Source organism: Homo sapiens, chromosome 22 (genome assembly GCF_000001405.40).
Source record: "Homo sapiens chromosome 22, GRCh38.p14 Primary Assembly".
In the NCBI taxonomy this organism is placed as follows: Eukaryota; Metazoa; Chordata; class Mammalia; order Primates; family Hominidae; genus Homo; species Homo sapiens.
In genome coordinates, this window is record NC_000022.11 from 38,533,217 (window position 1) to 38,545,440 (window position 12,224).

The 12,224-nt window shown below is 40.6% G+C and overlaps 1 protein-coding gene across 18 annotated transcripts in view; it reads right to left on the reverse strand.

Annotated features, from left to right (window-relative positions):
* The window catches only part of DMC1 (DNA meiotic recombinase 1), a 61,037-nt gene that overhangs the window by 24,070 nt on the left and 24,743 nt on the right, over positions 1-12,224 (reverse strand). For 11 of the 18 annotated variants that reach the window (XM_011529838.2, XM_011529837.3, XM_047441079.1 and 8 more), the window contains 3 exons: positions 5,323-5,396; positions 5,079-5,193; positions 4,376-4,436 (listed from right to left, as the gene is read on the reverse strand). In XM_011529838.2, the coding sequence (XP_011528140.1) occupies positions 4,376-4,436; positions 5,079-5,193; positions 5,323-5,396 (250 nt within the window). Of the gene's footprint in view, positions 1-4,375; positions 4,437-5,078; positions 5,194-5,322; positions 5,397-6,104; positions 6,197-12,224 lie in introns of all 18 variants that reach the window. The other 7 variants (XM_011529835.3, XM_011529834.3, XM_047441075.1 and 4 more) reach the window with 1 other exon arrangement.

The following is a 12,224-nucleotide window of genomic DNA, read 5'->3' on the forward strand; positions in this document are numbered from 1 at the left end:
CCCGTCTCTACTAAAACACAAAAACAAAATTAGCCGGGTGTGGTGGCGGGCGCCTATAGTCCCAAGCTACTAGGGAGGCCGAGGTGACAGAATGGCATCAACCTGGGAGGCGGAGCTTGCAGTGAGCCGAGATCGCGCCATTGCACTTCAGCCTGAGTGACAGAGCGAGACTCCATCACAAAAAAAAAAAAAAAAAAAAAGAGTCTTGAAAAGTGAGAGATAGATATCAAACTGCGAAAGATGAAGCAAAATTGTTAAGGGTAAATTTGGAAAATGCTTAAAGAGAGACACATTCATTTCAATGTAATTTACAGAATTTACTCCAGCATATCAAATATCTTTTAATATATCTGTCAATGATACATTTAATCTGCTACCATATGATGCATTGCTTCTGTTTTAAAGTAATAGCACTTTGTATTGCAACCATCAGAGTAATAATTAATTTACTCTAATTAATTTAGGCAAGAATCTTCAATGGATGCTAATATAAATGCATGAAAGCTTATTGCAGAGCAAGATATTTACACAGTCTCAAATTATCACACCACAAATTACTAATTAAATATAAAAGAGAATTTTTGTAATTTTCTTTTACAATGGAGACATCATGTGAATATCATCTTAATCATATGATCAGAATTAACATCACTAATAATGGGACAAACTGCCATCATGTGCCTCCTGATATGATATACTGAGAAGGCCATAATATTGCTTATGTAGTTTTCCTGTCAAAATGCTTAACATTTTAAGTAATGAAGAAAAAATTCAACTTCAAATTGAGGGACATTGCAAAACAGTTGGTCTGTGTTCTACAAAAATGTCGGTGTCATAAAAGTCTAACAAAGGTTGAAGAGCTGTTCTGATTAAAGGAGACTAAAGAGACATGACAATTACACGCAGTGCATGTTCTTCAATTGATCCTGAATTGAATGCAAAACAAAAAAACCCCCAACAACTATAAAGGACATTATTGGGGCAACTGGAGACACTTGAATACAACTGTATATTAGATAACATTATTATGCCAATGTTAGAATTTCTGAATGTGATAATTATATTGTGGCTATGTAGAAGAACATCATTATTCTTAGAAGAGATATGCTGAAGTATTAAGAGGTGAAGTGTCATGATGTCTGTGAATAATTTTCAGTGGTTCAGAAGAAACTTCTCAAATGGTTCACCAAAAAATACATATACAGGCTGGGCGTAGTGGCTCACACCTGTAATCCCAGCACTTTGGGAGGCTGAGGTGGGCGAATCACCTGAGGTCAGGAGTTCGAGACCAGCCTGGCCAACATGAAGAAACCCCGTCTCTACTAAAAATACAAAAATTAGCCGGCCATGGTGGCAGGCGCCTGTAATCCCAGCTACTCGGGAGGCTGAGGCAGGAGAATTGCTTGAACCCAGGAGGCAGAGGTTGCAGTGAGCTGAGATGGTGCTGCTGCACTCCAGCCTGAGTGACAGAGCAAGACTCTGTCTCAAAAAACAAACAAACACGACTGAGTGCGGTGGGTCATGCCTGTAATCCCAGGACTTTGGGAGGCCAAGGTGGGTGGAACACCTGAGGTCGGGAGTTCGAGACCAGCCTGGCCAACGTGGTGAAACCCTGTCTCTACTAAAAATACAAAAAAAATTAGCCAGGGGTGGTTGGCAGGTGCCTGTAATCCTAGCTACTCGGGAGGCTGAGGCAGGAGAATTGCTTGAACCCAGGAGGTGGAGGTTGCAGTGAGCTGAGATCGCACCATTGCACTCCAGCCTGGGAAACAAGAGTGAAACTCCATCTAAAAAAAAAAGAGGCTGGGCACAGTGGCTTATGCCTGTAATCCCAGCACTTTGGGAGGCCGGGGCAGGTGGATCGTGAGGTCAAGAGATAGAAACCATCCTGGCTAACACGGTGAAACCCCGTCTCTACTAAAAATACAAAAAATTAGCCGGGTGTGGTGGTAGGTGCCTGTAATTCCAGCTACTCAGGAGGCTGAGGCAGGAGAATCGCCTGAACCTGGGAGGCGGAGACTGCAGTGAGCTGGGATCGTGCCACTGCACTCTAGCCTGGGTGACAGAGCGAGACTCCGTCTCAAAAAAAAAAAAAGAAAAAGAAAAACAAACAAAAAACCGTATACACATACCACATACATATACATATGAGAATGTGTGTATGTGTGGAGAAACAAAGGTGTATGTACACCTCCACACACACACACACACACACACACACATACAGGAGAGAGAAAAAATGTGGCAAATTTAACAACTGATGAACCTAGATAAATGAGTATGTCTTGCTCTGTCTCCCAGGCTGAAATGCAGTGGCATGAATTCATTGCACTAGTTTTTTAACTTCTCTCTGGTAAAAATATTTTCTAAATAAAAACCTTTAAAAAAATCTTTTTTTTTTTTGTTTTTGAGACGGAGTCTTGTTCTGTCACCCAGGCTGGAGTGCAGTGGCACGATCTTGGCTCACTTCAACCTCTGCCTCCCAGGTTCAAGTGATCCTCCTGTCTTAGCCTCCCAAGAAGCTAGGACTACAGGTGCACACCACCATGCCTGGCTAGTTTTTTTATTTTTAGTAAAGACAGGGTTTTGCCATGTTGTCCAGGCTGGTCTTGAACTCCTGACCTCAGGTGATCCTCCCACCTCGGCCTCCCAAAGTGCTGAGATTACAGTGAGCCACTGCCCACTGCACCCAGCCTTTAAAAGATTTTTTTAAAAGCTTTTTGGCTAGGCAAGGGGGCTCACACATGTAATCCTAGCACTTTGGGATGCTGAGGTGGGAGGATCGCTTGAGGCCAGGAGTTCGAGACCAGCCTGGCCAACATGGCAAAACCCTGTCTCTTCTAAAAATAAAAAAATTAGCCAGGCGTGGCGATGTGTGCCTCCCAGCTGCTCGGGAGGCTGAGGCTGGAGCATCACCTGAGCCTGAGAGGCAGAGGTTGCAGTGAGCAGAGATGGTGCCACTGCATTGCAGCTTGGGTGACAGAGTGAAACCTTGTCTCTTAAAAAAAAAAAACACACACACACTTTAAAAAAGCATTATCATGAATTTAGATTTGTTTTGCTTTGTTTGAGACAGTCTTGCTCTGTCTCCCAGGCTGGAGTGCAGTGGTGTGTATTTAGGATTATTTTGATTGCTTATTCAGACACATAATGCTCAAAATTTGTTACGGTGGCAACAAACCTTTGTTTGATTTATCTATTTTTATTATCCTACTTTAGCTCTCTGTGTGTTTCTATTCACTGCCGTCTTTCAGAGTCATCAATAGTTATGTGCACAAACACTTCAACAAATTCTGAATATGCCTAGTGTGAACTGAAATTCTTTTTCTTCAAACAGGAGACTTCTCCCATAGTGCCTCTGATAAATATATCTCATGTATATCCTGTAGAAAGATGACTTTTTTGTTTTTATGAATGGTGTTTATTATACTGATAAGCTGCAATATAAGTTTTTATTTCCCTAGGATCTATTTCTTATTGTCCTCCCATACCCCTTTAGCCCTAGACCAAAGAGAAGCCCAAAGTACTGCTGAAAATGGTTAAAGTATTGCTTTATTCTATAAAGAACTAGAGAAAAATAGATTCTGGTTACCAAGTGATATTTACAATTATGAAGTCATATACACTGTGCAATAAAGTGATTTTTTTTTTGAGATGCAGTTTTGCTCTTGTTGCACAAGCTGGAGTGCAATGGCATGATCTTGGCTCACTGCAACCTCCGCCTCCCAGGTTCAAGTGATTCTCCCACCTCAGCCTCCCGAATAGCTGGGATTACAGGTGCACGCCACCACGCCCAGCTAATTTTTTGTATTTTTAGTAGAGACGAGGCTTCATCATGTTGGCCAGGCTGGTCTTGAACTCCTGACCTCAGGTGATCCAACCATCTAGGCCTCCCAAAGTGTTGGGATTACAGGCATGAGCCACTGCGCCCAGTAATAAAGTGATTTGTGATATATTTGTGCCCACATAAAGACTAATGATTTTTAAATTCTTTTCTTTTTTCTTTTTTCTTTTTGAGATAGAATCTTGCTCTGTTTCCCAGACAGGAGTACAATGGCGCGATCTCGGCTTACTACAACCTCCACCTCCCAGGTTCAAGTGATTCTTCTGCCTCAGCCTCCGGAGTAGCTGAGATTACAGGTGTGCGCCACCACACCCGGCTAATCTCTGTATTTTTAGTAGAGACGGGGTTTCACTATGTTAGTCAGGCTGGTCTCCATCTCCTGACCTCGTGATCCGCCTGCCTCAGCCTGCTAAAGTGCTGGAATTACAGGCGTGAGCCACCGTGCCCGGCCTTGAAATTATTTTCTATTCTACGCTCTAACCCTCTTTATATTAACCTCTGTGAAATAAAAAGTAGAATATTGGGGCTTACGTCATAGTTGCTCCTGGATCGGCAGTCATTTGATTGGTCACAAAAACAGCCACGTTATATTCTGCATCAAGAGATAAAATTTTAAAACTATGAGAAAGGCAATATAGATATTTAAAAGTTCATTGTTTAGATTTCAGAGTTTAGACATATTGCATCATGAATTTATTTTATAAATAACATCATATTCCTATTTTTCATTGACAACAGAAATTATTTGTTATTATTATTATTAAGGTTAGAATAAATATTTTTGGTTTAAAAAGAGTTGTAAAGCCGGGCTCAGCGGCTCATGCCTGTAATCCCAGCACTTTGGGAGGCTGAGGCGGACAGATCACGAGGTCAGGAGCTCGAGACCAGCCTGGCCAACATGGTGAAACCCCGTCTCTACTAAATATACAAAAAATTGGCCTGGTGTGATGGCAGGTGCCTGTAATTCCAGCTACTCAGGAGGCTAAGGAGGAAGAATTGCTTGAACCTGGGAGGCGGAGGTTGCAGTGAGCCGAGATCGCACCACTGCACTCCAGCCTGGGCAACAGAGCGAGATACCATCTCAAAAAACAAAAAAAAAACAAAGAGTTGTATTCTCATAAAGGTAATTTTATTTAAAAAAAAATCGCTGCCTCCTGACATTATATTCCAAGCTTCTCTGCAAAGTATACTTGACAAACATAGTCACAGATGCCATTTTATTTTAAAGATATACCTTCTGAGATTTTTTGGAGTCGTGACAACATCTGGGCCAATTTTTGCTGCCGTTCGGCCAACTCCCCACGGCCACTGAAATCCACTCGAAAAAGTGCCATTATTGAATCGATAATCTACACAGGATTAATGTAAAAATAAACATGCATTTGGAAATTGAAGGAAGACGTTATTTGAATAGAGATCAATAGAAGAAAAATATTATGCTAAATAGCTCTGTGAAAGCAATATTTAAAAGCTTGTACCAATAGCTTGAAGATGCCAGCTTCTTCATGGAACTTTGCTGCTACATAATCAAGTAGCTCCATCTGATGTTCACCTGATGGGAAATGCAGTGAGAAAATGTTATAAAAGTTGAAAGAAGCAGAGGCTAAGATCATTCATATTCTTGGGAGCCAGGCAAAATAAATTCCTTGAAGGATTTTCTTAATTATTGATGACTTTATTAAATATTATTGCAGCAGGGCATGGTGGCTCATGCCTATAATCCCAACACTTTGGGAGGCCGAGGCAGGTGGATCACTTGGGGTCAGGAGTTCAAGACCAGCCTTGCCAACATGGTGAAACCCTGACTCTACTAAAAAATACAAAAATTAGCTGGGTGTGGTGGCGTGTGCCTGTAATCCCAGCGACTTGGGAGGCTGAGGTAGGAGAATCACTTGAAGCCAGGAGTTGGAGGTTGCAGTGAGCCGAGATCATACCACTGCACTCCAGCCTGAGTGACAGAGCGAGACTCCATCTCAAAAAAAAAAAAAAATTATTGCATATTCTGCCTTAGCATGTATACCAAATGCTACATTATCCAAAAAGAATGTTACTCTTAATTTCAAAGACAAAGAATAATAAATAATTTGAGGGCACTTTATTATCTAAGGACTTACCAGATGATAAAATTTATAGACTGAGTAAATTAATTTAGAGAAAAATAAAATAGAAAAAAAGTATCAAAATGTTGTATCCCTCAAGTAGTAAATCAGTGCTGCCAACCTTACATTGACCCAAGCATCCAACTGCATGGGGCTCTTACTAGTATATGCACGTGCATAAAGTACGTTGTCCAGTACTGCATCATGGTCTACATTAAAGCGATCAGCAATGTCCCTAAGGCGATCTGGACGGCTGGAGTATGCCAAGATTAAGGATCCAATAAGTCAATTCTAAAAAAGTTTAGACAACCACTACAAAACATAATATCTTCCGTAAATTAACAGAGAAGCCAAACAATGTACCTGTGAAGGTATTCTAGAGGATGCTAGCAACCATTTAAAGTCTATACAAGATTTGTTTATTCATAAGTGCCTCAACTTACCATAGGTAGTGATAATGGTCATAGAAATGTGAGGCAGTAATGACTTTAACTATTAAATTATCAAAACTTTACAATAACCTTGGAAGCTAGTTTTTATGGCCTGTTTTACATTTTACAACGTAAGACACTGGCAAACAGAGATTAGGCAAATGACTTGAGCTTATGCAGCAAATCAGTTACAAGAGAAAAACTAGGAACTAAGCTTTGTGAGTCCTTTTGTTCTCAGATCTATAAAAATAGACCTGTAATAGATAATATCACTGAATTATAATTCAATAACTGCAAAGTGAATTAATTCACTCTCTTCATACCCCTCATTCCTCAATATGAAATAGTTTATTATATTATTAATCACATGTTGTTAAATGATAAATTTGACTACATGAACCAAAGGGTCAAAAAGGTAACTTCAAGGGCCCAGAAGAGAAATATCGACCAAAGGTTTTTTGTTGGCATAGGTTTTCTTTTTCTTTTCAAATCTTACCTGGAAAGTATATACAGTTTAAAATCTACTTTCTTCTAAAGGAGTTGTTAGCTTTTTTTTTGTTTTCTCCTCCTTCAGTCTCCTGAGTAGCTGTGATTACAGGCGCGAGCCATCATACCTAGCTAATTTTTGTATTTTTAGTGGAGACGGGGTTTCACCATGTTGGCCAGGCTGGTTTCAAACTACTGACCTCAAGTGATATGCCTGCCTCGGCCTCCCAAAGTGATAGGATTACAGGCATGAGCCACCATGCCTAGCCAGGAGTTGTTAGCTTTCTGAAATTAGCAAATTCATAGGGAAGCAAACTAAGTGCACCTGCAAAAGTATTCTGGAAGAAGCTAATAATCACTTATACCTATAAACTATAAAGGAGTAATAAACATTTTTTTTAGGTCTTTGGTGATCCCAACAATATGTCTGAAGTAAAATGAGGTAAAATTAAATGCATGTTTGTAACCTTATTTCACTTTGTTTATAGTGTTTACATAACACTGATCCCAGTATAAGTAACTGTAAATCAAGGACCATTTATAATCTTATTTGTGATGTTTGCAATTAATTTAAATTCCCAGCCATTTATATCCTAATGCACTAGATATGTTCTTGTTGTTAGAGCTTTGGTGACAGCCACAAAAATCTTCCATTGTTATTGAGTATACCCAGTAGATGTTTTTGGTGGACAAGTTAGACAGGGAATTGGAAGAGGCAATAAAAACATTTTCATCATGTCGGTTTCTACAAATCCCAGATACTATGTTGTGGCAGGCCAGGTCTTACTAATGCAGGCCTCCATAACAACTGTTTCAGCACTGACTGAGTGGTTAAGTTAAATATTAAAAGCTGAAAGTGCCCTTATACAAAGGCTGGAATGTAACAAAAGGCCACCAAGAGTTTTGCCCAGGCCTTTCCTGGGCCTTGAAGCATGACAAGATAATGAAGAAATTCTTAACAGTACCTGTTTAGGATTAAACGAGTTTTACTGGGGGCCTGAAGAAACTCCCTAGGTCTCCACAAACAAGTTATTGGGGGTCTGAAGGAACTCCCCAAACCTCCATGATTTAGCAGGAGATAAGATAAGGGTAATCACCCCAGCACCTGGACCCATTTAGATTAAGTAAATTTACTGAGGCTCCAGAGGAATGTCTTTAGGACTCAGATCTTAGTTATAGATCAAAAGAAGTTAATCACTTATATATTTTTAAAAATTTTTATTTTATTTTTTTGAGATGGAGTCTCACTCTGTTGCTCAGGCTGGAGTCCAGTGGCACAATCTCGGCTCACTGCAACCTCTGCCTCCCTGGTTCAAGTGATTCTCTTGCCTGAGCATCCTGAGTAGCTGGGACTACAGGCGTGTGCCACCATGCCCAGCTAATTTTTGTATTTTTAGTAGAGACAAGGTTTCGCCATGTTGGCCAGGATGGTCTTGAACTCCTGACTTCAAGTGTTCCACCCACCTCGGCCTCTCAAAGTGACTTATGTCGTTAGATGAATGCACACTTACAATAAACATATAGCTGAGAAGGTATATAAGTTCTGGAAGACTTTGTAATTTTGAGTTGGTCTGGTGTTATTTTCCAGGTCTTCTCCCTGTAACCGGTTACGGAAACAAAAACTCCCTCCTTTCCCAGTTCATTTGCATCTCATTATTGGGCCATAAGAATAAGCAGCCTGATCCTCAGTTTGGTCTGGGAACAATGTGACCGCGGGTGTAAAACTTGGGCTTAAATCCTCAACAAAATACTAGCAAACCAAATTCAACAATACATTAAACAGATCATTCATCATGACCAAGTAGGATTCGTCTCAGGGATGCAAGGATGGTTCAACATATACAAATCAATGTGATATATCAACAGAACGGACAAAAAACATATGATCATTTCAATTGATGCTGAAAAAAGCATTTGATAAAATTCAACGTTCATTTATGATAAAAAAAAAACCCTCAAAAAATTGGGTATAGAAGGAACATAACCCAACATAAAAACCATACACAACAGACCCACAGCTAGTATCATACTAGATGGGGAAAAACTGAAAGTCTTTCCTCTAAGATCTGGAACAAGTATGCCCACTTTCACCACTGTTATTCAACATAATTCTCAAAGTCCTAGCTAGAGCAATCAGACAAGAGAAATAAATAAAGGTCATCCAGATTGAAAAGGAGGAAGTCAAATTATCCTTGTTTGCTGATAATAAGATCTTATGTTTGGAAAAACCCAGACTCCACCAAAAAGCTATTAGAACTGATAAACAAATTCAGTAAAGTTGCAGGATACAAAATCAACATACAAAAATCAGCAGCATTTCTAAATACCGACAGGGAACAATCTGAAAAAGAAATTCAAAAATTAATCCCATTTACAATAGCTACAAATAAAATTAAAGACCTAGAAATTAACTTAACCAAAGAAGTGAAGGATCTCTACAATGAAAACTATAAAACATTGATGAAATACATTGAAGAGGACACACAAAAAACAGAAAGATATTGCATGTTCATGAGTTGGAAGAATCAGTACTGTTAAAATGTCCATACTAAACACAGCAATCTACAGAATCAATGCAATTCCTATCAAAATACCAATGACATTCTTCAGAGAAATAGAAAAACAACCCTAAAATTTATATGGAACCACAAAAGACCCAGAATAGCCAAAGCTATCTTGAGCAAAAAGAACGAAACTAAAGGAACCACATAACCTGACTTCAAATTATACTATAGAGCTATAGTATCCAAAACAGCACGGTATGGGCATAAAAACAGATGCATAGACCAATGGAACAGAATATAAAACTCAGAAACAAATCCACACACCTACAGTGAACTCATTTTCGACAAAGGTGCCAATAACATACATTGGAGAAAGGACGGTCTCTTCAGTAAATGGTGCTGGGAAAATGGGATATCCATAAGCAGAAGAATGAAATTAGACCCCTATCTCTCACCATATACAAAAATCAAATAAAAATGGATTAAAGACTTAAATCTAAGACCTCAAACTATGAAACTACTAAAAGGAAGCATTGGGGAAACTCTGTAGAACACTGGACTGGGTAAAGATTTCTTGAGTAATACCACACAAGCACAGTCAACTGTAGGATATAATAAATTCCTCTTCAAAGGTTTTAGCCTGTAAATTGTTTTTTTTTTTTTTTTTGAGACGGAGTCTCGCTCTGTCACCCAGGCTGGAGTGCAATGGCATGATCTCGGCTCACTGCAAGCTCCACCTCCCAGGTTCACGCCATTCTCCTGCCTCAGCCACCTGAGTAGCTGCGACTACAGGTGCCCGCCACCATGCCCGGCTAATTTTTTGTATTTTTAGTAGAGATGGGGTTTCACCATGTTAGCCAGGATGGTCTTGATCTCCTGACCTCGTGATCCACCCACCTCGGCCTCCCAAAGTGCTGGGATTACAGGTGTGAGCCATAGTGCCCAGCTGCCTGTAAATTGTTAAGTACAATGAGTTTTGAGATCCTCTCCAAGGAACCAATGTATCAGTATGTTCAGCTCCCCTGTTCTTTGTTCTCCATTTTAAAGGTTAACTTCCTCCTTCTTCTTGCTTTCTTGCCCCTAGTTTCAGTAAACAACCTTTTCCATCAGTTCTAATCAGTAGTTTACATCTGTTCCCCTGGTCATCTACTCCATGCTGAGTCTCCCCTGGTCAATTGCTCTGTCCTAAGTCACCCCTGGTCACCTGCTCTGACCTGAGTCACCTTTAGTCACCTGTTCCTAACCATCCTTCCTGCCAAACTACTCACTCCACCACTCCGACTCATAACCCTGCTCTCTTTAAAATAGCCAGTCGGAATTAGCTTAGACTGTGCAGTCCAACCCTAGCCAATAGGGGAATGACACAGCAGTAGGGGCTACTTGAGTCAGGAATAAAACCCCCTTCCCCTCCCTTGTTCAGATGTGCTCTCGCCATTGCTCCATCAGTGAGTCACACCCTTTTATAGAAGTAAAATTGCCTTGCTGAGAAAATATTTGCAAACTATCCATCTGACAAGGGATTAATAACCAGAATATATAAAAAGTTCAAACTACTCTATAGGAAAAAAATCTAATAATCTTATTTAAAAATGGGCAAAATATCTGAAAAGACATTTCTCAAAAGAAGTGTGAAAGGAAAATATCTTGGGCCTCCAAAATCACTAAGGAAAACTCAAACTGGAAACTGCTTATGGCAAACCTGCCTTTCATTCTATTCAAAGTCACTCCTCTGCTCACTGAGATAGATGCATATCTGATTGCCTCCTTTGGAAAGGATAATCAGAAACTCAAAAGAATGCAACCATTTGTGTCTCACCTATCTGTGACCTGGAAGCCCACTCCTTGCTTTGCTTAGTCTTCCTGTCTTTGCTTCAGGTTGTCCCGCCTTTCCAGACTGGACCAATGTTCTTCTTACATATACTGATAGATGTCTCATGTCTCCCAAAATGTGTAGAACCAAGCTGTGCCCCAACCACCTTGGGCACACGTCGTCAGGACTTCCTGAGGCTGTGTCACGGGCGTATCCCCAATCTTGGCAAAATAAACTTTCTTTTTTTTTTTTTTGAGACAGAGTCTTGCTCTGTCCCCAGGCTGGAGTGCAGTGGCGCGATCTCAGCTCACTGCAACCTCCACCTCCTGGAATCAAGCAATTCCCCTGCCTCAGCCTCCTGAGTAGCTGGGACTACAGGCACGTGCCACCATGCCCGGCTAATTTTTTTTTTTTTTGTATTTTAGTAGAGACGGGGTTTCACCATGTTGGCCAGGATGGTCTCAATCTCCTGACCTTGTGATCTGCCCACCTTGGCCTCCCAAAGTGCTGGGATTACAGGCATGAGCCACTGCGCCCGGCAGCAAAATAAACTCTCTAAACTAACTCAGACCTGTCTCAGATTCTCTGGGTTCACAGAAGACATACAAATGGCAAATAGCTATATGAAAAGGTGCTCAATGTCACTGATCATCAGAGAAATGCAAATCAAAACTACAATGAAATATCATCTCACCCCAGTTAATATGGCTTTTATACAAAAGACAGGGAATAACAAAACCAGGCATGGTGGCTTATATCTGTAATCCCAGCACTTTGGGAGGCCCAGGTGGGAGGATCACTAGAGCTCAGGAGTTGGAGACCAGCCTGGGCAACATGGTGAGACCCTATCTCTACCAAAAAAATACAAAAATTAGCTGGGCATGGTGGCACGCACCTGTAGTCCCAGTTACTTGAGAAGCTGAGGTGGGAGGATCACTTGAGTCCTGGATGTTGAGGCAGCAGTGATCCATGATCACGTCATTGCACTCCAGCCTAGGCGACAGAGCGAGACCCTGTCCCAAAAACAAAACAAAACAATTTTTTTTTTTT